At 44.6% G+C, this 27,457-nt stretch overlaps 1 long non-coding RNA gene across 1 annotated transcript, besides 1 other annotated feature; it reads left to right on the top strand.

The window, feature by feature from the left end:
* The first annotated feature begins 1,542 nt into the window (after positions 1–1,542).
* Positions 1,543–5,063, top strand: LOC101928932 (uncharacterized). Its single transcript, NR_135133.1, has 2 exons — positions 1,543–1,858; positions 4,714–5,063. It is a non-coding gene; the product is annotated as an uncharacterized LOC101928932 (long non-coding RNA).
* Positions 3,123–3,727: an enhancer, noted in NCBI's record as "H3K4me1 hESC enhancer chr9:141091719-141092323 (GRCh37/hg19 assembly coordinates)". NCBI's record gives its function as "activates a minimal SCP1, AML or CMV promoter by ChIP-STARR-seq in naive H9 embryonic stem cells {active_cell/tissue: H9 hESC(naive)}" and the evidence as "EXISTENCE:reporter gene assay evidence [ECO:0000049][PMID:30033119]".
* Positions 5,064–27,457: the final 22,394 nt, after the last annotated feature.

Genomic DNA, 27,457 nt, shown 5'->3' with positions numbered 1-27,457 from the left:
ACACAAGCCATAAACTAGAAGATTGAAAAACTAGAGTATAACTTACGAGGGAAACGAGAGTGACTTCATGCTGGAGAAACCTGGCCAGCACACTCTGCGAGGTAGCCGAGGTCAACATCAGCAGTGAGCCGGGCCGAGGCAGGACCCCTGATGTGGTGGCATGAGAAGCGCCTCACCTCTGCTCTTCCTCCAAGGAGCCCACAGCCGGAATCTGATCATGAAAAAAAGACTTCACACGAACCCCGGCAGACAGACACTCCCCCAGATGCCTGAGCCCAGCTTCTCAGAACTTTCAAGATCACAGAAAACAAGGAAGGTCTGAGAAACTGTCACGGCCCAGAGGACCCTAGGGAGATGTGACAAGCAAATGTCACACGGGATCCCGGACGGGATCCCGGCCCACAAAACGGCCACCCGAGAACAAACCAAATGAGCTGTGGGCTTTAGTCAATGATTATGTAGCAACGTTTGTTCGCTAATTCTGACAAATGTACCATTATAATGTAAGGCATTAATAATAAGCAAACTGTGTGAAGTATATGGGAACCCGGCACTATCTTTATAACAATTCTGTAAACTCGAAATGGCTCTAAAATAAAAAAACTTCATTTTAAAAAACCAGCCACAGGGGAAGGAGGGAGATTGATAAATTGGACTTCAAGAAAATGGAAGTCATTGGGTGAAAATACACACAACAGGGACACCTGATGAAAGACCTCCGTGAAGAATGTGTAAGCAACTCTGGAGACCCAGCAATCAACAGACTACTGCCCAATTCTAAAAAACGGGCAAAGACTTGAGCACACACTTTGGAAGATACACAAATAGCTGATGAGTTTGAGAAAAGCTGCTCAGCCTCGTAGTGATCAGGAAGTGCAACTGAAAATCTCAGTGGGACGCCCTGCACGCCCGCCAGGGTGCAGGTGGAAAGGCTGGCAACACGACAGTGAGGCTTATGCCAAGCAACCGGATCCTCATCGCCTCTGGGGAGAGCCTGGAATGTGGCCACCACTTAGGACCATGGCTTGGAAATATCTTAAATCCAACGTATTTCTACATGCTAGTGATGCTGCTCATCAAGGGGGTGAGCACTCATGGGCTGGGGATGCTACAGGGTCCTCAGTGCCTGCCCATTTCACAGGACGGGAGACTGAGGTCTAGAGGGAGGCAACAGCCAAGCACGCCCTGGATCCAACGCCTCGCCCAAGCCACCACGGCTGCCTCCTCCTCTGGCCCCTCCATCTCCCCCACTCCTTCTCCCCCTTGTCCCCCTTCTCCTTCTCCCACCCCTCCTCCTCCTCTCCCTCCTCCTCCTCATCCATTGTCCTCCTTGTCCTCCTTATCCCCCTCCTTGTCATTCTCCTCTTCCTCCTAGTCCTCCTTCTCCTCCTCCTTCTCCCCCTCCTCATTCTCTTCCTTGTCCTCCTCATTCTCCTCCTTCTCCCCGATTCCTCCTCCTTCTCCCCGACTCCTCCTCCTTCTCCCCGACTCCTCCTCCTTCACCTCCTCCTTGTCCTCCTCCCTCTCCGCCTCCTCATCCCCCTCCTCCTCTTCCTAATTCTCCTCCTCTGCCTCCTCCTTGTCCTCTCCCTCCCCCTTGTCCTCCTCGTCTTCCTTTTCTTCCTCCTCTTCTGTCCCAGGGCTTTCAAACTCTGGCTCTCCAACGACATGGAAGAGTTAAAAGGAGGAACGCTGGCTCAGCCAAGCCCCGGAGACTCCTACTTGATATGGGCAGTTTAAAGCCACTTTCCCTTTAAATTTTTCTGTGACAACTCTTTTCATGGAGAATGGAAAGACTCTCGTTAAGTGTTGCCGTTCAGAAGTGTTGGCGGTCGTTGCTAACATGAGATCCAACAAGGTAAATGCCAGAAGCCATCTGCAAGGGGTAATACCTTATTCTGCTTTTGCATAAGTGATGCTGCATCCCTTTATCTCTCTGCTGCGGCCTTCAGTGCTGATGGCCTGTGCCACCCAGTGACTGGTTAAATCAGCTTGAGGAAGAGCTCTTTTGAGCCTCTGTCCAGTTTAGCAGAGGAAACTTCAAAGTCCCAGCATCCTGGTCATGGAATGCTATGTTAACCCTTTCCAAAGTTTGAGACTGAGATGGGCAGACCATTTTAAAGACACACTGCATCCAGCCTCCCATGACAGAGCCTCATGGGAAGGGTGGTGAGCAGAGTCGTGGGGATATTCTATCCTGAGCCTTCCATGTTGGGGCTTCTTGGAGACAGGGGAGGACCACGGCCTCAGTGACTGGCCATTGGCCAAATACACTCATTAAAGTGCCCTTCTCCAGGGCTGGGGACCTGACTCTCTCAGTCTGTGGGGCCCAGCCCACCTGCTCCTCCCTAATGGCTCCTGCTGGATGGGGAACAGCCTGGCACCAGGTGAACCATCACTGACTCTCCCTGGGGAGAGACGAGGGAGGAGGGGGCATGTCCAAGAGGCCAAGGTACAAGCCCAGTGCCCTGCAGGTCTTCCAACATTTCCAGCCGTAATGGCCATGATCGCCATGGTCTGGACTTTCTGAAGAAAGTCTTTTCACAGGCTCGGCCTGGCTGGAATCTGACCTGTGAAGCCTTTGGGTCAGTCGCAGGAATTATCAAGCATCTGCCATGCCTGGAAGAGTTGGACTGGGGAGGCACAGGGCCTGCCTGGCGTCAGGCGCTGAGGAAGGGATGATAAATGCACACCCTCTGTTTTGTCCGTTTCTCACGGCCTCTCTGGCCACCCTGTCTGCCTGTGTCTGTCCTGCCCAGCCCTTCTCTGACGAGCGTGTCTTGGCGCTTTGTCTCTGCTCACCCTGGGCTCATCACTGTAAACAGCAGGAGGTTCCACACCAGGCGAGGTGTGCCATTGTGACCGAAGGTCTCAGGGAACAGAACTGAGTCTGGGTGGGTTGAGCTGGGAGTTTCATAGCTGTAGGAAGCTGCGATCGCAGCTTCATGATGCAGACAGAAGGCCTTGTCTCAGCTCAGTGGGGGAAGCCCCTTGTCGACTCTAGGCAGGGGAGATTGTACCGCTGCCTCTCCCAGTAGCAGCTCCCAGGAGGCAGTGCAGTCACGGGGCCCCGCTGGTAGAAGCTGAATAGTCCATCGGGAAAACCTCAAAGGCCACCAGTCCTCGAGGTAGCTGCTGCTCCAGCTGTGCTCACCTGGAGTGGAGGGGCAAACGGCACCAGGGGTGGGAGAGGTCAAGGCAGAGCCTCTGCCCCATCCTAGACCAGCTGCACGAGACGACAGCTCACACCAGCTGCCCAGAGGCGGCACCAGGGGTGGGAGAGGTCAAGGCAGAGCCTCTGCCCCATCCTAGACCAGCTGCACAAGACGACAGCTCACACTAGCTGCCCAGAGGCACAGCCCCTCTGCCAGGCTTCAGCAGGGCACGGCTTGATCTCAAGGCCCTCTCTTCTCGTCCCACCGCCCCTCCCTCCTGTGACAGGAGGACCAGCAGTTCCACTCTGAGCCCGGCTGAGGCCCGACCTCCTCCACCTCAGCCCTGAGAATCTTCTCCAGCTGGGATGGCTGTTGCCCTGTTGTCCTGTTGCCCTGTTGTTCTGTTGTCCTCTTGTCCTGTTGTTCTGTTGTCTTGCCCTCCCAGCTCCTGACCACACAGGGGCTTTGTTCCCGTGCCAGCCTCTTTGGGGAAAGTGGGTGAGGGGGGCCCTGCTCCAGGCTCTGGGACATTTGGCTTGGGCTGTAGCCTGTGTCCAAGGAGAAGAAACCCTGAAGGTGGGTTCCCACCAGATGTGGGCATGGTCAGCTACATCAGGCCCCCAAAGGTGTGCACATCCTAATCCCACGAACCCGTGGGCACGTTACCTTACATGCAACAGGCACTCTATGGATGGAGTCGGGATAAGTGTCTAGAGATTGGGAGGTTGTTCTGGGTCATCCAGATGACTTATGAGAGGGCCCTTATGAGAGGGAGGCAGCAAGCTCACAGAGAGGGCCATGGAACAACAGCAGCTCAGACACAGCAGAGGCCGCACAGCTGTCCTGGGTGCCGAGTAGCTGCAGAGGTCGGAGGAGGTGCAGAGCAGGTATTCTGCAGCCTCCAGAGGGACCAGCCCTGCTGACTCCCTGGCTTTGGCTCAGTGAAACTCATTTCGGACTTCTGACCTCCAGCTCTGCAAGAGAAAGAATCTGTGCTATTTTAAACCACTAAATTTGTGGTTTCTGTTCAGCAGCAGTGGGAGAGGGTGAAATGCTCTCCAGCTTGGCACCCACAGCCCAGCTCAAAGGCAGGGACTGTGGTTGCTTTGCAAATGAGGGAGGCTGGGTCCCTGCCCTCACCGGGCTTACCATCTAGGTATGGAGAGGAGTAACGTAAGGTGAAGTCAGAAAAGAATCATAAGAAAAGAAAGTCCACACCCTGGAAGGATCTGAGGCAGAAGGAAGCTCTTGCTGAACCACCTGAGAGGAGGCGGTCTGGCCTGGGCACCCTGGGGGGCCTACGCCCCCACTTCGAGGCCCCCCTGGAAGGTGCTTGGCTCTCCGGATGACCCCAGCACTGGGGAGACCCGCTGTGCTTTCCAGGCAGCACAGACACCTCGGTGTAGGTGTTGTGGTACCACAGGGAAGGGTGTTTCTTCCAGCCTGGTTCTCAGGACAGGCTGCTGGCTGGAACAAACCCCACCTCTATCTGAGCCACCAACCATCTGAACCGGTATTCTCTCTATCTGACAAATATTCCTCCTTCTTTACATCCCAGAAATGGTGAAAATGCACAATGCCTCAGGACGCCTTGAGGAAGGAGCAGCATGTTGCTGCCGAGGGTGAACACACGTGGTCTCTGCGGAGAGGCGACAGATCTCCCTGGGCGTCAGTCATCCTGGGACTGGGTGTCGTGGAAGAAGGTGACACCAGGCAGAAACCAAGAGCAGGGGAGCTGCAGGCCGGCATAAGAGCCCGTATCAGAGCAGAGTGGCCCCTGAGCGGGGAGGGAGCCGGAGATCACTGTTGGAGGAGGGCCCGGCACCTGCACCTGAGGACATGAGTCTAATAAAAGAGTATAAATAATATAATAAAAGAGAGTATAATAAAAAAATAATTTAAAGAAAATAGAGCTTGATAAATCTGTTTCTTCATCTTCATAATAATGTCAAATTTGTTGAGATTTTTTTTAAATGGCACGATTTGTCTACAGATCTTTGTACTCTGTCTGGCTTAAATATATATACAACTTATATAATAAAATACTGGGCTGTTTTATTATTATATTGATAATTTCTTAGTCAACACTACTTTGATCATATTCTATAAACGGCACTGTAAGACCTGTGACTGGTTATCAACAACATAAAGTGATTATGAGAGTTTCATGTGACAGATGAAGGAAGGTTGGTTAGTGCAGTGGCAATAGTTGGCAACCTGAGAAACTGAGCTCACAATTTTAGAAAAGTATTATTCTTTCTAACTAGATATTTCCATGAAAAGAACCTTGTGAAATGCAGAAATGCCAAAAGAATAATTATAAGATAATAACCAAATAACTAAAATGCATCTCGATTTCTCTGACAATTTAACTTAACGTGGGGTGCAGGCAGAATCACAATGTTTACAAACATAGGCATTTATGATCTCAAGACGGTTAATTCTTAGCTGGTTGAGGAAAACAGTAGTAGAACTGTTATTGCAGAAATAAAAGACAGAAAACAGTGGAAGGGCTTGATCACAAGTCATATGTTCCAGTTTTGGAAACCTCTAAAAATCCTGCCTGGAGATAGGTTTTTCTTATCTCATTATTGAAGAATATATGAGCAGGCAGGGCATGGTGGCTCAAACCTGTAATCCCAGCACTTTGGGAGGCCAGTGTTGGAGGATTGCTTGAGGCCAGGAGCTCAAGACTAGCCTGGGCAACATAGCAAGACCCTGTCTCTACAATTTCTTTTTAAACCAGCTGGCTGTGGCGGCATATGCCTGTAGTCCCAGCCACTAGGGAGGATGAGGTGGGAGACTGGCTTGAGCTTAGGTGTTTGAATCTGGAGTCATCTGTGATTGTGCCACTGCACTCCAGCAAGAATGACAGAGCTAGATCCTGCGTACAAATATACACATATTGTATATATTGTCAATGACCAGTCACAGGTCTTACAATGCTGTTTATACAATATGGTAAAAATGATGTTGACAAAGAAATTATCACAATAATAATAATAAAAGCCCTGTGTGTTATTAAGTTGTTCATAAATTTAATGTAAATGAGGTAGAGTAATAAAGATCTGTAGACAAATCATGTCATTTATTTTTTTAATCTCAACATAATATAACTTTTTTTTTTGAGACAGTCTCACTCTGTCGCCCAGGCTGGAATGCAGTGGCTAGATCTTGGCTCACTGCAACCTCCACCACCCTGGTTCAAGCGATTCCTCTGCCTCAGCCTCCCGAGTAACTGGGATTACAGGTTCCTGCCACCGTGCGTGGCTAATTTTTGTATTTTTAGTAGAGACGGGGTTTCACCATTTTGACTAGGCTGGTCTTAAACTCCCGACCTCGTGATCCACTGGCTCGGCCTCCCAAAGTGCTGGGATTACAGATGTGAGCCACCGTGCCCAGCCAACATTTCTTTTTTAAAGTGTGCAAGCTCTTTGACCATCATGTCTCTGTGCATCACTGCGATAAGATAACCAGAGCAACTGTTTCCACCGTGGAGTTGGGAGGAGATAAAGACACATCCTTTGTGCTTTGGGCACTCTTATCAGGATCAGGGAGGACCCTGCCCTCTGATTTTATCTCTCTTAAATGTGCAAAGTACAGAGATTTTTATCATGAATAATTTTAAGAGAAATTAAAAATTCTATAAAGTTCAAGGACATTCAGGTTTTCTATTGATCATGTTTCTTCTTGATATTTTTAGGCCCTGGCCAGCCGCAAATGAATAATCTCTATCATCATCATTGTGTTCCTTTGTGTTTTAACCTTTCCTGATTCCATTCTCTCTACCTTTTATTTTGAAGAAGAATAGACACCAGAAAACCCTGTCCCTACCAAATGCAAAAAAAAACCCTAAAATTATAAATATTCACATTGACAATCACATTTGTGAATATATATTTTAATTACAAAATTACAATTTTAAACTTTCAGAGGAAGTGGTAGTAATATAAAACAGAGGACATTTTTATAAAAAGGAACTCTTATATTTTGCAAATTATTATTCTCTCATCACCAAATAGTGCTACCTAAAGTAATATACAACCAATTTAATAAGTTTAGTTTTAAAAAACACAAAATTACAAAACAATTAATACAATATTTGAAATCATGATGCATATTGCCAGCCTCCCTTCAGGTAAAGTTCTATTAACTCTACAAAAATTTTCTAAATGGCAGATGTTACATTTCCAGATAGCTTTGTGGTAACCAAAAAAGAATTGATTTATTAGCAATTTTTATATCACATTGAGACAAAATATTATTTGTGATAAATATTGTTACATATTTAAAACATCTCATGTATTAAGAAATCATACTTTAGATGGGGCCAAGCTGGCCTATTAGAAACAGCTGTGGCCTGCGGCTCTCACGGAGAGCAGTGAAAACTGCAAGTGAATTCTGCACCTTCAGTTGAGGTATCCAGGTTCTTGCATTGGGACTGACTAGCCAGACAGCTCGACCCACAGGGAGTAAGGAAAAGCAAGTGGGGCGATGGCCCACCCAGGTGTGGCACGGAGCTAGGGGCGACCCCACTCACAGCCAAGGGAGGCGGTGAGTGATTGTGCGACTCTGCCTGGGAAACCATGCTTCTCCCACGGATCTTTGCAACCTGCAGATCAGGAGGCCCCCTGGTGAGCTCAGCCATGGCCTTGGGTCTGAAGCACAGAGCTGTGTGGAGTCTGGGCGGAATGCTCGCTGGCTCACTGGGGCATGCGTGAAAGCCCAGGAGTTTTGCATCCTCTGCCCCGAAAATTCCAGCAAAGCGGGAGATACATCCGTGCATTCCCCTAGGAAGGGGGCTGAATCCAGGGAGCCAAGTGACATCATTCTGAGGCCCCACTCCCACAGCACCTCACAAGTCCCATTGGCTTGGAATTCCAGCTGGCCAGTGGCAGCAGGCTGGAGACAGCCGGAGATGGACCGAGTTCCTGGGGGAGGGCAGCCACTCTATCTGTGGTTTGAGTTGGCCGCTCTAGCCTGCTGGCACCAGGGACCAGGAGGAGTCCCCCATAACACAGCACAGCTGCTGTGCCTGATCGTGGCCGGGCTGCTTCTTTAAGTGAGACCGAAATCCATCCCTCCTCACCGAACAGGGCCTGCCCATCGGAATTTTAGCAACTCCAGCCAGAGTTCTATGGACAGAACTCTGATTTCTCCCTGGGATGAAGTCCCCAGGGAGAGGGGTAGCTGCTGTCTCCCCAGTTCAGCCAACTGAGCCTTTCCAGCCTGCTGGCTCTGGAGACTCCTGGCAGTCACCACAGCACACCTGCTCTGCCAAAGGGCAGCCAGACTGCTTCTTTAAGCAGTCCCTGATTCTGTTTCTCCTGACTGGGCAAGACCTCCCAACAGGGGTCTCCAGACACCTCCTACAGGAGCGTTCCAGCTGGCATCAAGTCGGTACCTCCTTGGACTGGTGCTCCCAGAGGAAGGAACAGGCCGCCATCTTTGCTGTTTCGCAGCCTTCACTGGTGATACCTCCAGGGGCAGGAGAGACTGAGGTGATGAGGGTCCAGAGTGGACCCCCAGAAAACCACAGCAGCCCTAGGGAAGAGTGGTCTGACTGTTAAAAACAAACAGAAAGCAACACCATCAACAAAAAAGACCCCACGAAAACCCCATTCAAAGGTCAGCAACGTCAAAAATCAAAGGTAGATAAGCCCACAAAGATGACAAAACATAACACAAAAACGCTGAAAACTCAAAGAGGCAGAATGCCTCTTCTCCTCTAAATGACAACAACACCTCCCCAGCAAGGGCACAGAACTGACCCCAGGCTGAGATGGCTGAATTGACAAAAGTAGGCTTTAGGAGGTGGGTAATAACAAACCACACTGAGCTAAAGGAGCACATTCTAACTTAATGCAAGGAAGCTAAAAATCATAAAAGAAATTACAGAAGGTGATAACCAGAATATTCAGTTTAGAGAGGAACATAACTGACCTGATGGAGGTGAGAAACACAACACGAGAACTTCGCAATGCAACCACAAGTATCACTAGCAGAATAGGCCAAGTGGAGGAAAGAATCTCAGAGCTTCAAAGCCATCTGTCTAAGACAGGAAGAGAAGAATAGAGAAAAAAGAACAGAGAAGAATAGAGAAAAAAGACCAAAAAAGAATGAATAAAACCTTCAAGAAATATGGGATTATGTAAAAAGACTGAACCTAAGACTGATAAGGGTACCTTGACCCACCACGATCAAGATGGCTTCATCCCTGGGATACAAGGTTGGTTCAACACAGGCAAATCTATAAATGTAATTCCTCACATAAACAGAATTAAACACAAAAACAACACGATTATCTCAACAGATGCAGAAAAGGCCTTCAATAAAATTCAACATCCCTTCATGTCAAAAACTCTCAATAAACTAGCTATTGAAGGATCACACCTCAAAATAATAAGAGCCATATATGACAAACCCACAGCCAATATCATACTGAATGAGCAAAACCTGGAAGCATTCCCCTTGAGAACTGGCACAAGACAAGGATGGCCTCTCTCACCACTCCTATTCAACATAGTACTGGAGTTTCTGGCCAGGGCAAGCAGGCAGGAGAAAGAAATAAAGGTATTTAAATAGGAAGAGAGGAAATCAAATTATCTTTGTTTGCAGATGACATGATCCTGTATCTAGAAAACCCCATCATCTCAGCCCAAAAGCTTCTTAAGCTGATGAACCACATCAACAGAATCTCAGGATACAAAATCAATGTGCAAAAATCGCTAGTATTCCTATACACCAACAACAGGCAAGTAGAGAGCCAAATCATGAATGAACTTCATTCACAATTACTACAAAGAGAATAAAATACATAGGAATACAGCTAACAAGCGAAGTGAAGAACCTCTTCAAGGAGGACTACAAACCACGGAATTCCAGCTGGCCAGTGGCAGCAGGCTGGAGACAGCCGGAGATGGACCGAGTTCCTGGGGGAGGGCAGCCACTCTATCTGTGGTTTGAGTTGGCCGCTCTAGCCTGCTGGCACCAGGGACCAGGAGGAGTCCCCCATAACACAGCACAGCTGCTGTGCCTGATCGTGGCCGGGCTGCTTCTTTAAGTGAGACCGAAATCCATCCCTCCTCACCGAACAGGGCCTGCCCATCGGAATTTTAGCAACTCCAGCCAGAGTTCTATGGACAGAACTCTGATTTCTCCCTGGGATGAAGTCCCCAGGGAGAGGGGTAGCTGCTGTCTCCCCAGTTCAGCCAACTGAGCCTTTCCAGCCTGCTGGCTCTGGAGACTCCTGGCAGTCACCACAGCACACCTGCTCTGCCAAAGGGCAGCCAGACTGCTTCTTTAAGCAGTCCCTGATTCTGTTTCTCCTGACTGGGCAAGACCTCCCAACAGGGGTCTCCAGACACCTCCTACAGGAGCGTTCCAGCTGGCATCAAGTCGGTACCTCCTTGGACTGGTGCTCCCAGAGGAAGGAACAGGCCGCCATCTTTGCTGTTTCGCAGCCTTCACTGGTGATACCTCCAGGGGCAGGAGAGACTGAGGTGATGAGGGTCCAGAGTGGACCCCCAGAAAACCACAGCAGCCCTAGGGAAGAGTGGTCTGACTGTTAAAAACAAACAGAAAGCAACACCATCAACAAAAAAGACCCCACGAAAACCCCATTCAAAGGTCAGCAACGTCAAAAATCAAAGGTAGATAAGCCCACAAAGATGACAAAACATAACACAAAAACGCTGAAAACTCAAAGAGGCAGAATGCCTCTTCTCCTCTAAATGACAACAACACCTCCCCAGCAAGGGCACAGAACTGACCCCAGGCTGAGATGGCTGAATTGACAAAAGTAGGCTTTAGGAGGTGGGTAATAACAAACCACACTGAGCTAAAGGAGCACATTCTAACTTAATGCAAGGAAGCTAAAAATCATAAAAGAAATTACAGAAGGTGATAACCAGAATATTCAGTTTAGAGAGGAACATAACTGACCTGATGGAGGTGAGAAACACAACACGAGAACTTCGCAATGCAACCACAAGTATCACTAGCAGAATAGGCCAAGTGGAGGAAAGAATCTCAGAGCTTCAAAGCCATCTGTCTAAGACAGGAAGAGAAGAATAGAGAAAAAAGAACAGAGAAGAATAGAGAAAAAAGACCAAAAAAGAATGAATAAAACCTTCAAGAAATATGGGATTATGTAAAAAGACTGAACCTAAGACTGATAAGGGTACCTTGACCCACCACGATCAAGATGGCTTCATCCCTGGGATACAAGGTTGGTTCAACACAGGCAAATCTATAAATGTAATTCCTCACATAAACAGAATTAAACACAAAAACAACACGATTATCTCAACAGATGCAGAAAAGGCCTTCAATAAAATTCAACATCCCTTCATGTCAAAAACTCTCAATAAACTAGCTATTGAAGGATCACACCTCAAAATAATAAGAGCCATATATGACAAACCCACAGCCAATATCATACTGAATGAGCAAAACCTGGAAGCATTCCCCTTGAGAACTGGCACAAGACAAGGATGGCCTCTCTCACCACTCCTATTCAACATAGTACTGGAGTTTCTGGCCAGGGCAAGCAGGCAGGAGAAAGAAATAAAGGTATTTAAATAGGAAGAGAGGAAATCAAATTATCTTTGTTTGCAGATGACATGATCCTGTATCTAGAAAACCCCATCATCTCAGCCCAAAAGCTTCTTAAGCTGATGAACCACATCAACAGAATCTCAGGATACAAAATCAATGTGCAAAAATCGCTAGTATTCCTATACACCAACAACAGGCAAGTAGAGAGCCAAATCATGAATGAACTTCATTCACAATTACTACAAAGAGAATAAAATACATAGGAATACAGCTAACAAGCGAAGTGAAGAACCTCTTCAAGGAGGACTACAAACCACTGAATTCCAGCTGGCCAGTGGCAGCAGGCTGGAGACAGCCGGAGATGGACTGAGTTCCCGGGGGAGGGCAGCCACTCTATCTGTGGTTTGAGTTGGCCGCTCTAGCCTGCTGGCACCAGGGACCAGGAGGAGTCCCCCATAACACAGCACAGCTGCTGTGCCTGATCCTGGCCGGGCTGCTTCTTTAAGTGAGACCGAAATCCATCCCTCCTCACCGAACAGGGCCTGCCCATCGGAATTTTAGCAACTCCAGCCAGAGTTCTATGGACAGAACTCTGATTTCTCCCTGGGATGAAGTCCCCAGGGAGAGGGGTAGCTGCTGTCTCCCCAGTTCAGCCAACTGAGCCTTTCCAGCCTGCTGGCTCTGGAGACTCCTGGCAGTCACCACAGCACACCTGCTCTGCCAAAGGGCAGCCAGACTGCTTCTTTAAGCAGTCCCTGATTCTGTTTCTCCTGACTGGGCAAGACCTCCCAACAGGGGTCTCCAGACACCTCCTACAGGAGCGTTCCAGCTGGCATCAAGTCGGTACCTCCTTGGACTGGTGCTCCCAGAGGAAGGAACAGGCCGCCATCTTTGCTGTTTCGCAGCCTTCACTGGTGATACCTCCAGGGGCAGGAGAGACTGAGGTGATGAGGGTCCAGAGTGGACCCCCAGAAAACCACAGCAGCCCTAGGGAAGAGTGGTCTGACTGTTAAAAACAAACAGAAAGCAACACCATCAACAAAAAAGACCCCACGAAAACCCCATTCAAAGGTCAGCAACGTCAAAAATCAAAGGTAGATAAGCCCACAAAGATGACAAAACATAACACAAAAACGCTGAAAACTCAAAGAGGCAGAATGCCTCTTCTCCTCTAAATGACAACAACACCTCCCCAGCAAGGGCACAGAACTGACCCCAGGCTGAGATGGCTGAATTGACAAAAGTAGGCTTTAGGAGGTGGGTAATAACAAACCACACTGAGCTAAAGGAGCACATTCTAACTTAATGCAAGGAAGCTAAAATCATAAAAGAAATTACAGAAGGTGATAACCAGAATATTCAGTTTAGAGAGGAACATAACTGACCTGATGGAGGTGAGAAACACAACACGAGAACTTCGCAATGCAACCACAAGTATCACTAGCAGAATAGGCCAAGTGGAGGAAAGAATCTCAGAGCTTCAAAGCCATCTGTCTAAGACAGGAAGAGAAGAATAGAGAAAAAAGAACAGAGAAGAATAGAGAAAAAAGACCAAAAAAGAATGAATAAAACCTTCAAGAAATATGGGATTATGTAAAAAGACTGAACCTAAGACTGATAAGGGTACCTTGACCCACCACGATCAAGATGGCTTCATCCCTGGGATACAAGGTTGGTTCAACACAGGCAAATCTATAAATGTAATTCCTCACATAAACAGAATTAAACACAAAAACAACACGATTATCTCAACAGATGCAGAAAAGGCCTTCAATAAAATTCAACATCCCTTCATGTCAAAAACTCTCAATAAACTAGCTATTGAAGGATCACACCTCAAAATAATAAGAGCCATATATGACAAACCCACAGCCAATATCATACTGAATGAGCAAAACCTGGAAGCATTCCCCTTGAGAACTGGCACAAGACAAGGATGGCCTCTCTCACCACTCCTATTCAACATAGTACTGGAGTTTCTGGCCAGGGCAAGCAGGCAGGAGAAAGAAATAAAGGTATTTAAATAGGAAGAGAGGAAGTCAAATTATCTTTGTTTGCAGATGACATGATCCTGTATCTAGAAAACCCCATCATCTCAGCCCAAAAGCTTCTTAAGCTGATGAACCACATCAACAGAATCTCAGGATACAAAATCAATGTGCAAAAATCGCTAGTATTCCTATACACCAACAACAGGCAAGTAGAGAGCTAAATCATGAATGAACTTCATTCACAATTACTACAAAGAGAATAAAATACATAGGAATACAGCTAACAAGCGAAGTGAAGAACCTCTTCAAGGAGGACTACAAACCACTGCCCAGAGAAATCAGACAGGACACAAACAAATGGAGAAGCATTCCATGCTCATGGATACGGAAGAATTAATTCATGAAAATGGCCATAGTGCCCAAAGTAATTTATAAAAGAATTCAATGCTATTCCCATTAAACTACCAATGACATTCTTCACAGAATTAGAAGAAACTATTTTACAATTCTCACGAACCAAAAAAGAGCCCAAATAGCCAAGACAATTCTAAGCAAAAAGAACAAAGCTGGAGGCATCACACTACCCAACTTCGAACTATACTATAAGGCTACAGTAACCAAAACAGCATGGTACTGGTACAAAAACAGACACATAGACCAATGAAACAGAATAGAGAACTCTGAAATAAGACCATACACATACAACCATCTGATCTTTGACAAACCTGACAAACACAAGCAATGGGGAAAGGATTCCTTATTTAATAAATCATGTTGGGAAAACTGGCTAGCCATATGCAGAAAACTGAAACTGGACATCTTCCTTATACCTTATACAAAAAAATAACTCAAGATGGAATAAAGACTTAAACATAAGACCTAAAACCATAAAAACCCTGGAAGAAACCTAGGCAATACCATTCAGGACATAGGCATGGGCAAAGACTTTATGACTAAAACACCAAAAGCAATGGGAACAAAAGCCAAAATTGACAAATGGGATCTAATTAAACTAAAGAGCTTCTGCACAGCAAAATAAACTCATCAGAGTGAACAGACAACCTATAGATTGGGAGAAAATTTTTGCAATATGTCTGACAAAGGGCTAATATCCAGAATCTACAAAGAACTTAAACAAATTTACAAGAAAAAAAACAACCCCATCAAAAAGTGGGCAAAGGAAACGAACAGACACTTCTCAAAAGAAGACATTTATGCGGCCAACAAACATATGAAAAAAAGCTCATCATCACTGGTCATTAGATAAATGCAAATCAAAACCACAGTGAGATACCATCTCACACCAGTTAGAATGGCGATTAAAAAGTCAGGAAACAACAGATGCTGATGAGGCTGTGGAGAAATAGGAATGCTTTTTCACTGTTGGTAGGAGTGTAAATTAGTTCAGTCATTATGGAAGACAGTGTGACAATTCTTCAAGGTTCAGCAATCCCATTACGGGGTATATACCCAAAGCATTATAAATTATTATACTATAAAGACACATGCACTGTATGTTTATTTCAGCACTGTTCACAATAGCAAAGACTTGGAACCAACCCAAATTCCCATCAATGATAAAGTGGATAAAGAAAATGTGGCACATATACACCATGGAATACTATACATTTATGTCCTTTCCAGGGACATGGATGAAGCTGGAAACCATCATTCTCAGCAAACTAACACAAGAAAAGAAAACCAGGCCAGGAGCAGTGGCTCATGCCTGTAGTCTCAGAACTTTGGGAGGCCGAAGTGGGCAGATCACCTGAGGTGAGGAGTTTGAGACCAGCCTGACCAACATGGAGAAACCCCATCTCTACTAAAAATAGACACAATTAGCCAGGCATGTTGGCACATGCCTGTAATCCTAGCTACTTGGGAGGCTGAGGCAGGAGAGTCGCTTGAACCCAGGAGGCAGAGGTTGCGGTAACCCAAGATCATGCCATTGCACTCCAACCTGGGCAACAAGAGTGAAATTTTGTCTCAAAAAAAAAAAGAAAGAAAAAGAAAAAGAAGAAAAGAAAACCAAACACTGCATGGTCTCACTCATAAGTGGGAGTTGAACAATGAGAACACATGGACACAGGGAGGGGAACATCACACACTGGGGCCTGTCGGGGGGTGGGAGGCTGGGGGAGGAATAGCATTAGGAGAAATACCTAATGTAGATGACAGGTTGACGGGTGCAGCACACCACCATGGCACGTGTATACCTATGTAACAAACCTGCATGCTCTGCCCATGTATCCCAGAACTTAAAGTACAACAAAGAAAACTTTACATAAATGCATAAAGTCTAGAACAGCTAATATATTATAATGAAATATCAACTATAATCCCAGCTCAAAGAGAACACCATGAAATTATGAAGGGCTTTCCACAAATCTCTAAATTTATGTCTTCATAAGATTACATTTCTATTTCTTCTTGAATAATTTCCTTATTTTAGCTATGATTTAGTGATAGTAAGATGGTAATTATGAGGAGAAACTTCTCCCAACACTGCATTGAGAAAATTCTGCCTCATTTCACCACACACCAGAGTCTTAAGCAGTCACTTCTAATGTAGCTGAACAATAGATCCTCACCCACCTGAGTCTATGAATTGAATCCACGTATGTGAGATAAGGCCCCCAAGGAGTGGTAGTAAGCTGGGAATGCCATCAGCTCATCTTCCTTCAGGCCTATATTTGTCATTGTCACTTGTAGAAGCAGGACAGCCCTGGCGTTGGGGTTGGTAGAAACAGAGAGTATCAAAGGGAAAACTGAACTTCCCTAATTTTTGGAAAACAGCAGATTGGAGACAGATGGGCTCCAGCGTTTTCCATGTGTGAGGTCATTGTCCCAGGCAGCCTTGCTCAGGACCACATTTCTTGTCAGCAAAACAGAAGTCAAACGATATTTCTACCTTCCAAGAGAATAGAACATAATGTCAGATTTTCTCATGGATTCCCACAGGTTCAAGAAAGTTTCATGGCCTTATTTAACTGCTTAAGCATTTCAACTAAAAAATTATTTGTCTTTCAAATACACAGGAATCTATTTGGAAAAATTTTAACCAGAAAAAGTTGGAATTCTAAAGTAAAAAATGCATAAGGCCATCAAAATTTTTTACAGCTTTTAATTTAGATGTCAATGGGGGAAAAAAAGACATTCTCTGAAGTTTGCTTTTATACCATTAAAGACTTATTTTTTATTACCAGCAATACAGGGCAACTCATTCAGGTTGAATCTTGAAGGTAAACTTTAACTTAAGTTTTGGCTAATTTTTAAGCATTTATCAGTCACCTACCATGATTTCATCTCAGAAACCAAAATCTCAATTTCATTTAGACCTTTGAAATCTTAAAACAGAAAATTAAATGCTTCAAAATAATATTCATGTAGAGGCTTATATATGTGGACCAGGAATCTCCATGTATTACAAAGTTTATGAGAACATAACAAATGTTGATACACACATTTAATTCTTAAATAAAAACTTACAACAAATAAAACTGTAACAAATCAAGAAAATTTTGTAGGTTTCACATTTTATGTCTAAAAATATAGGTATTAAACACTCAAGGATGGATAAAAGAAATCACAAGAGAAAACAGAAAATATCTAGAGACAAATTAAAAATATGAAATACCAAAAGTTAAGAGATACATCAAAAACAGTACCATAAGGGAAAAATTTATAGCTATAAATGATAATAAAAAATAAGATACCGAATCAACAACTTTACTCCTAAGGAACTAAAAACAGAGGGAAAAAGGGGGACAACTAAAAGAGGGACAACTAAAAGAGGGACAACTAAAAGCTAGCAAAATTTTAAAAATGATAAAGATAGCAGTGGAAATAAGTGAAATAGAGAACAGAAAAACAATATCAAAAATCAACAAAACCAAGTTTGTTCTCTGAAAAAGATCAAAATTGACAAAATTTTATCTAGATTGACTAAGAAAAAAAGGGAATACTCAAATTACTAAACTCAAAAATAAAATGGGTACATTACTAACAAATTTTTGGAGTAAAAAAAGGATGCACGAGAGTACCATAAGGAACTATACACTAAAAAATTGAGTAACCTAAATAAAATGAACAAATTCCTAGAAACAAAAAACCTACTAAGACTGAATCAGAAAAGTTGAATAAACCTATTCAGCAAGGAGACTCAGCAAGAAGATGACATCAGTAATCAAAAACCCAGCAACAAAGAAAAGCCTGGACCAGATGGCTTCACTGTTGAATTCTACCCAATGTTTAAAGCAGAATTAACACCAGTTTTTCTCAAACTTTTTCAAAACGTTGAACAGGAGGTAACATTTTCTAACTTATTCTACGAGGACAGTATTACCCCAACACCAAGTCAGACAAAGGCACCATAAGAAAACTACAAACAAACATCCCTTACAAATGCCGATGCAAAAATCCTCAACAAAATACCAGCAATTCAAATTTAGCAGTACATTAAAAGGATTATACACTATGAATGAGTATAATTGACTCCTGAAATAAAAGTATGTTCCAACACATGTAAATCAGCATAATATCACATTAACATAAAGAAGGAAAAAACCTCGTGATACCTTAATCAAAGAAAAAGCATTTGTCAAAATTTAACCCACGTTCATGATAAAATATACTTAATAAGCTATAAAAAGGAATAAAACACCTTAACATAAGGTTATATTTAAAAAAACACACAGCTAACATTATAATGAAAGACTGAAAGCTTTTACCCTAAGAGCAAAATCAAGGATGCCTGCTTTTACTACTTCTATTTAATATAGTACTGAAGGTTCTAGTTAGTTAAAACAATAAGGCAAGTAAAATAATGAATCCTCCCTAACTCATTTTATGAGGCCAGCATCATTCTGATACCAAAGCCGGGCAGAGACACAACCAAAAAAGAGAATTTTAGACCAATATCCTTGATGAACATTGATGCAAAAATCCTCAATAAAATACTGGCAAACCGAATCCAGCAGCACATCAAAAAGCTTATCCACCATGATCAAGTGGGCTTCATCCCTGGGATGCAAGGCTGGTTCAATATACGCAAATCAATAAATGTAATCCAGCATATAAACAGAGCCAAAGACAAAAACCACATGATTATCTCAATAGATGCAGAAAAAGCCTTTGACAAAATTCAACAACCCTTCATGCTAAAAACTCTCAATAAATTAGGTATTGATGGGACGTATTTCAAAATAATAAGAGCTATCTATGACAAACCCACAGCCAATATCATACTGAATGGGCAAAAACTGGAAGCATTCCCTTTGAAAACTGGCACAAGACAGGGATGCCCTCTCTCACCGCTCCTATTCAACATAGTGTTGGAAGTTCTGGCCAGGGCAATCAGGCAGGAGAAGGAAATAAAGGGTATTCAATTAGGAAAAGAGGAAGTCAAATTGTCCCTGTTTGCAGACAACATGATTGTTTATCTAGAAAACCCCATCGTCTCAGCCCAAAATCTCCTTAAGCTGATAAGCAACTTCAGCAAAGTCTCAGGATACAAAATCAATGTACAAAAATCACAAGCATTCTTATACACCAACAACAGACAAACAGAGAGCCAAATCATGGGTGAACTCCCATTCACAATTGCTTCAAAGAGAATAAAATACCTAGGAATCCAACTTACAAGGGATGTGAAGGACCTCTTCAAGGAGAACTACAAACCACTGCTCAAGGAAATAAAAGAGGACACAAACAAATGGAAGAACATTCCATGCTTATGGGTAGGAAGAATCAATATCGTGAAAATGGCCATACTGCCCAAGGTAATTTACAGATTCAATGCCATCCCCATCAAGCTACCAATGACTTTCTTCACAGAATTGGAAAAAACTACTTTAAAGTTCATGTGGAACCAAAAAAGAGCCCGCATTGCCAAGTCAATCCTAAGACAAAAGAACAAAGCTGGAGGCATCACACTACCTGACTTCAAACTATACTACAAGGCTACAGTAACCAAAAAAGCATGCTACTGGTACCAAAACAGAGATATAGATCAATGGAACAGAACAGAGCCCTCAGAAATAATGCCGCATATCTACAACTATCTGATATTTGACAAACCTGAGAAAAACAAGCAATGGGGAAAGGATTCCCTATTTAATAAATGGTGCTGGGAAAACTGGCTAGCCATATGTAGAAAGCTGAAACTGGATCCCTTCCTTACACCTTATACAAAAATCAATTCAAGATGGATTAAAGATTTAAACGTTAAACCTAAAACCATAAAAACCCTAGAAGAAAACCTAGGCATTACCATTCAGGACATAGGCGTGGGCAAGGACTTCATGTCCAAAACACCAGAAGCAATGGCAACAAAAGACAAAATTGACAAATGGGATCTAATTAAACTAAAGAGCTTCTGCACAGCAAAAGAAACTACCATCAGAGTGAACAGGCAACCTACAACATGGGAGAAAATTTTCGCAACCTACTCATCTGACAAAGGGCTAATATCCAGAATCTACAATGAACTCAAACAAATTTACAAGAAAAAAACAAACAACCCCATCAAAAAGTGGGCGAAGGACATGAACAGACACTTCTCAAAAGAAGACATTTATGCAGCCAAAAAACACATGAAGAAATGCTCATCATCACTGGCCATCAGAGAAATGCAAATCAAAACCACTATGAGATATCATCTCACACCAGTTAGAATGGCAATCATTAAAAAGTCAGGAAACAACAGGTGCTGGAGAGGATGCGGAGAAATAGGAACACTTTTACACTGTTGGTGGGACTGTAAACTAGTTCAACCATTGTGGAAGTCAGTGTGGCGATTCCTCAGGGATCTAGAACTAGAAATACCATTTGACCCAGCCATCCCATTACTGGGTATATACCCAAATGAGTATAAATCATGCTGCTATAAAGACACATGCACACGTATGTTTATTGCGGCACTATTCACAATAGCAAAGACTTGGAACCAACCCAAATGTCCAACAATGATAGACTGGATTAAGAAAATGTGGCACATATACACCATGGAATACTATGCAGCCATAAAAAATGATGAGTTCATATCCTTTGTAGGGACATGGATGAAATTGGAAACCATCATTCTCAGTAAACTATCGCAAGAACAAAAAACCAAACACCGCATATTCTCACTCATAGGTGGGAATTGAACAATGACATCACATGGACACAGGAAGGGGAATATCACACTCTGGGGACTGCGGTGGGGTCGGGGGAGGGGGGAGGGATAGCACTGGGAGATATACCTAATGCTAGATGACACATTAGTGGGTGCAGCGCACCAGCATGGCACATGTATACATATGTAACTAACCTGCACAATGTGCACATGTACCCTAAAACTTAGAGTATAATAAAAAAAAATAAATAAAAAAAAAAATAAATAAAAAAAGATATTCCAATTTTTAAAAAAGTAAAATTTTCTGTTTGCAGATGACATGACTTTATATATTAAAAATCTTTTAGTTTCTGTGAGATAAACTATCAGATGCAATAAATAACATTCAGCAAAACTGCAGGATACAAAATCAAGACACAAAAATCGGTTGTATTTCTACAATAACAAACTATCTGAAGAAGAAATCAAGACAACAGTATCATTTATGACAGCATCAAAAGAATAAAATACTTAGAAGCCAACTTAACCAAGGAAATGAAAAACCTGTACAGCAGAACTATAAACATTGCAGGAAAGCATTAAAGATGACACAAATAAATGAAAAGACATCATGTGTTTATGGACTGGAAGACAAAACCTCATCAAGATGCCATTGTTATCAATAGTCATCTACAGATTCAATAAAATCACTATAAAAATTCCAATATTTGCAAAAATAGAAAAACCTATTCTGAAATTCAGATGAAATTTCAAAAAACCCCAAGTAGCCAAATCAATCTTAAAAACTAACAAAGTTAGAGGACTAACACCTCCTGGTTTCAAACTTACTGCAATGCTTCAGTACCCAAAACAATGCTGTACCACCATAGAGACAGACATAAAGACCAATGCAATAGAAATAAAGAACCAAAAAACACAGTCATGATTTTTAACAAGGGAGTCAAAACTATGGGGAAAGGACAGTATATTTTTAAATGGTGTTAAGAATGAATATTTACATGGAAAACAATACAGTTGGACCCTTACTTTACACCATATAAAAAACTTAATTTAAAATGGACTAAACATCTAATTGTAAGAGCTAAAACTATAAAACCCTTAGAAGAAACATAGGAAAAATGTTTCTTAACATAGAATCTGGCAATAATTTCTTGGATATGACAGTGAAAGCACAGACAACAACAACAACAAAAATACATAAAAAGAACTTCATCAAAGTGACAAGCTGTTATGTATCTGAAGATATGATCAATAGATTGAAAATACAATTCACAGAGGGAAAGTAAATATTCACACATTATGTATTTGATAAGTAATTAATATCCAGGCTATATAAAGACCTCAGCAACAACAACAACAAAACAATCAAATTTAAACATGAGCAAAGGTTTTAGAATACACATTTCTCTAACGAAGATATGCAAATGACCAGCAAGCACAGGATAAGGTGCTCAGCATCACTAATCGTGAGAAAAATGTAAATCCAAACCACAATGCAATACCAACTAACACATGTAAGCATAGCTGCCATCAAAAGCACCACCACCAGCAAAGCAAAACAACAAAGCCTCAGAGAACAGCAAATGCTGATGTGGAGAAGTCAGGACTCCTGCACACTGCTGGTGGGAAAGTAAGATGGCACAGCCACTGTGGAAAACTGTAATCACCATATGATCTAGTAATTCCACATCTGGGTATATATCCCAAAAAACTGAAAGTGGGAATTCGCACATCCCTGTTTATAGCAGCATTCACAAGAGCCAGAGGGTAGAAAAAGCCCAAATGTCCATCTACAGATGAATGGATAAGCAAATATGATCAATACACACAATGATATATTATTCAGCCTTAAAAAGAAAAGAAATTCTAATACATGCTACAACATAAACCTTGAAAACATTAAAACAAAAAAAATGCATACTCCATGCTTTCCACTTTTATAGTGTACCTAGAGCAGCTAAATTCATAGACACAGAAAGTAGGATGTGGTTTCCAGGGGATGGGGGGAAGGGAGAGGGGAGCTATTGTTCCGTGGATACAGAGTTTCACTTTGGGATGATAACACAGGTTTGGAATGGATAGTGGTGATAGTTGCACAACAATGTATTTATACTTAATGTACTTAAATTTTCTGTTATACATATTTTACCACAGTAAAAAAATTAGCAAATATTTAAAAATCTACTTGTTTCCTTGAACTGTTTCTTTACATCCCTTGTCCATTTTTCAATTTGGCTGTTGGTCTTTTAATAATTTAGGATAGCTATATAGCTATATATATACACATATATTACCCAAATTAGCTTTTTGTCTGTCATGTATGTTGCAGATCTGTTTCCCCAGTCTGTTGACTTTTGACTTTGAGGCATTTTTCTCGCCTATAAAGTTTTAATTTTTATAGAGTCAAATGCATCAGTCTTCTATTCGAAGACTTATTTATGGGTTTGGTGTTTCAGTTTAGGATGAAAAAGAAGTTGTAGATATGGATAAAGGAGATGGTTGTACAACACATTATAGTGGATGCCACTCAACTGTATGTTTAAACATGGTTAAAATGGTAAGTTTTATGTTGCATATATTTTACCACCAAAAAAGGGCCAGGCTTAGATGTTTATATGTTAGGGGTTTGGAGTACCTCTAACATTTATTCCCCTCCAGGGGAATAATTTATAAACACCCACACAAGAAAAGTAGATACTGACTTCACAAATCTCCTTACAAGTCCCACAGCAAGGGCTGTCTGGGAAAGCAGAGGTGGAAAAAGTCACATAAACTTGAGGTCAGTGTGAGACCTCCCATCCCCTACTCTGGAATCAGTTGGAGGAAGGCACGCATGCAGGCTGAGCTGGAGAGATGAGCTGGGGTGGGCAGAACTGTCCTCCCATGAGCCTAGACCTTAACTGCTCCCACATGCTCCCAGGCATGTATCAAACCAAGAAAGCGGCTAGGAGGGTAACACAGCTACCTGTATACAGGGAGCCATGAAATATCCGAGCTGCGCAAGTGATGCACAAGGAGATGGAAGCAGTCTGACCTTTACACAGTGACCTGGCTCAAATAATTTCAGGCTCTCGTTAATCAGGCGAGCTCCGCTTTCTCTCTGAGGTAGGTAAACTTGAGGGGGTAAAGTGGGAGTTGGGGAAAATGGAAAAGAAAGCCTGGTAGTATTTCTCCTAACTCTGTTATAAATAAAAAGTAAAACATAAATGCCTTTTCTCAGGGCCCAAATGTTAGGTGAAAAAATGTCATCTCAGTCATGTGATGTGGACTTCAGCCGAGCAGTACACACATGGTCATTTATCCTTTCCCTCTGCATGTTGTGTGCTTTTTCAGTTTATAATGTACCTGATCCACTTGTCTCATCACACTAGCTGCAAACAAGGCCACTGAATGTCACACCAGGTGGCCAGCATGTCTGTGAAGGGCAGAAACCGGGGCAGCCAAACAGCTGGCAGAGGCCAGCTAGGAAGTACCCGATGCCCACTCCATAGAGGACTCCACAATTAAAAGACAAGATCAGCAAGTGTCAGGCTGCCTCACTAGTTATCCCCCCCCCAAAAAAAACAAAAGTAACCCCTCCAGGGAACATGTGTGTGTACACACACAAAAGTACATGCACACAGCTACATGCAAACGGGAAAGGCTGGGAAGGAACCAAATCCACCTCTGAACACCAGTTACTTGTGGGGAAGGGGCAGGTGAAGCCAACTGTCAGCATTACTCACCTTTTCAACTATGAGCTTGCATCAATTTTAGCAATTTCTCATAAAAAGGCAATTTTCACTCCTTGGCTGATGACCGAGGTCCTGAAAAACTGAGCCACCAACAACCACCTGCACCACTTCCCATGAGGCCAAATAATGGCTTCCCTCAAAGCTCAGCCCTCCCACCCACCTCCCAGTCCTCTCCCATGCAGGGGGCTGCCGGCCTCCTGGGGTACAGGTGTCCAGGCCAAACCCAACCCACAGATGGTTGGTGAAACCAGCACATATCCAAGGGCCTTTTCCCCACCTGGGCCATGTGCCCACTGCATAGATAGGCCTGTGCTTGCTCCCCTAGGACAGAGACTCCCTTTTCTTCCGTTGGAATGAAGGGTGGGGAGATTTGATGGTGTCCTGTACAGGTTGGGTGTTAATCTGATGTGGTGCTCTTGGAGAAGCTTACCTGAGTTAGGTGTTTTCTCAGCACGTGGTGTGTGCTGCCCCTTCAAGCTGCAGGAGTCCCAGAAGGTAAGTGCTACTGCAACCCCCATTTACTGGTGAACAGAGGTCAGGTGATCTGCAGCCGACCGAGCAGCTGCTAAGTGGCCAACAGGCTGGATCTGCATCTCACTTGCAGAGGCCCTGCCTGGATGCTGGGGCTGCCCTGAGACTCCCTTCTCCTCCTCTTCCCTCCACAGCTCTCCCTGCTTCTATCCACAGCTGTGCTCCAGGTGGGGAACACCTATGGATGCACCAGGGTGCAACTACTCAGAGTCAAGCATGCAGAAGGGCCCCTGCTCTATGCTGTTTCCATATCCAAGCCCAAGCTCTTCTAGAGCTTCAGCAAATCCAAGCCTCCCTGAATTCCCTGCAAGACCAAACTGAGCCCTACAACCCCCACCACTCTGGTTAGCTGCCAGTCCCAGCCCCTGTTCCCTCCTGGGCCCCTGTCTGTACAGTTCTGAAGTCCTGCAAGAATGTTGAGATCCTAAGCTGACTCTCACCCAAAGAGGTAAACAACCAGGGGCCTCCAGAGGTAGAGAACATACTCTGCTGCCTGTAGGCTTGATGTCCTTCCCCTACAACACACCTTGCTTGCCAGGCTGGAAGAGGGGCTCCAGAAACTCGGGAAACCTGGGCCTGTAGCTGGCATGTGGAAAAAAGGCCTGGAAAAGCACCACTCCTGTCCATGAAGCCCCCATATGGAACCAGGTAATTGGGAAACACATGGTCACCAAGCCTGACCCCCCCTCAGACCCAGGTGGGAACTGCAGCGGTGCTTGCCCCCTCTGCCTGTCTGGCTGTGCCACTACAGGAGGGAGGAACATCTAGCCCCACGCGTGAGTGGAGACACCAGGTGTGGGCAGGTTCCAGTGGTTGCTGCAGCTGAACCTTCCTAACCAGGTCCATGCAAGACCATCTCAGATGGGTGTGCACCTGGGTTGGGCAAGGACACCCCTTAGAGAGTGAGAGCCACTGAGGAGGGCTGTCACAGAGGCCCCTTTTCCTGCTCCTAGAACAGGCTGGGGGAGTGTGGGGGAGTATGGGGGAGGTTGGGGGAGTGTGGGCGAGTGTGGGCGAGTGTGGGCGAGTGTGGGCGAGTGTGGGGGAGTATGGGGGAGTATGGGGGAGTATGGGGGAGTATGGGGAACCTCTCCCACCTCCCAGCTGCTTCCAGGAGCCACTTCTTTTGAGATGAGACACTCTCCTGCCTGCCTGTTCCCATTTGGCTGCAATAGACCATTGACAACATTCAGAGAACAAGAAGGGGCCTCACCTGTTTTCCCTGACACGTCAGAGGCAGGTGGGCATTCCCAGGGGACCTGGAGTAGAACCCATACATCTCCCCACCCCCGGGCTATGCTGGCTTCATGTTATCTGTGTGATGGGGGTAGGGTGGGAATTACCAAGAGACCTTCACAGGGGCCATGGACAAGTTCTACAAGAGCCAGGGAGAAGAGCACTGTCCATGCGTGTTGCCCAGCACCCAGCTCACACACACATCTCTAATTTGACAGCTTCCCCAAAGCAGGCTTTACAGTCCAGGCTCCCCGAGAAGCCTGGGGAGGAGACCCTCCCAGGCTGAAGGGCCTGTACCCAAAGGTGCCACCCTCACCAGGCTCATCCTGGCAATCTTGGATTATTTTTGCCCTGAGGTTTTGGAGTGGGAGACAGGGAGACAGCAGACAGTACTCATTAGCCACCTTTCCAGAGAGCATCAGCCCTCCAGACTGGGGCAGGTCAGACCTCCACTCAGGCGTTTTTCTCACTGGTTGCCGCCAGCTGGGGGAAGCAGCATTTGTGAGCACCTGCCTGTCTCCCCAGGTCCTGTTCAGAAACCCCATCTGTGCCTTTGGAGGGACTGCCCTGCGCACACAGGCCCAGTAACCACCATCTACGGCCCCCAGGACCTAATCCCCTTCTACATAGGGTTCAGTGCATGTCACAGGTCCAGCAACCACCATCTACGGCCCCCAGGACCTAATCCCCTTCTACTTGGGGTTCAGTGCATGTTAGCAGACACTGGGCTCGATTCCTGCCTAGTCCCTGCCAGATACCCCATGCCCACCTCGTGAAGAGAATGAGGCCACACAAACACACCCAGACCGTCATGGTGATGGAGTGCCTGGGGTCCCACTTGCCCACCCTTCATTGCTGGTTCAGAGCCAGCTGTCTGACCACATTCCTACTCCAAGATGGGACTTTGGAGACATTGTCCACCAGGGTCGCTGACCCCTTTTAACGTTCCAGAAACATGGCCAGCTGGTCCCCTAGAAGTTTGGTACATGGGATAAGCCAAGGCTTGCCTTCAGGAACAGGTTTTCCACCACGTCGCTGCCCAAGGCCCAGGGCATCCCCAAGTTCACGTGAAGCCTGCCTGCCATGTCCACAGCCCATGCTGAGCCCTCCTGGAGCCACTGGAATGCTTGTTCC

This window comes from Homo sapiens, chromosome 9 (genome assembly GCF_000001405.40).
Source record: "Homo sapiens chromosome 9, GRCh38.p14 Primary Assembly".
In the NCBI taxonomy this organism is placed as follows: Eukaryota; Metazoa; Chordata; class Mammalia; order Primates; family Hominidae; genus Homo; species Homo sapiens.
This window is presented reverse-complemented; position numbering and strand designations above follow the sequence as displayed.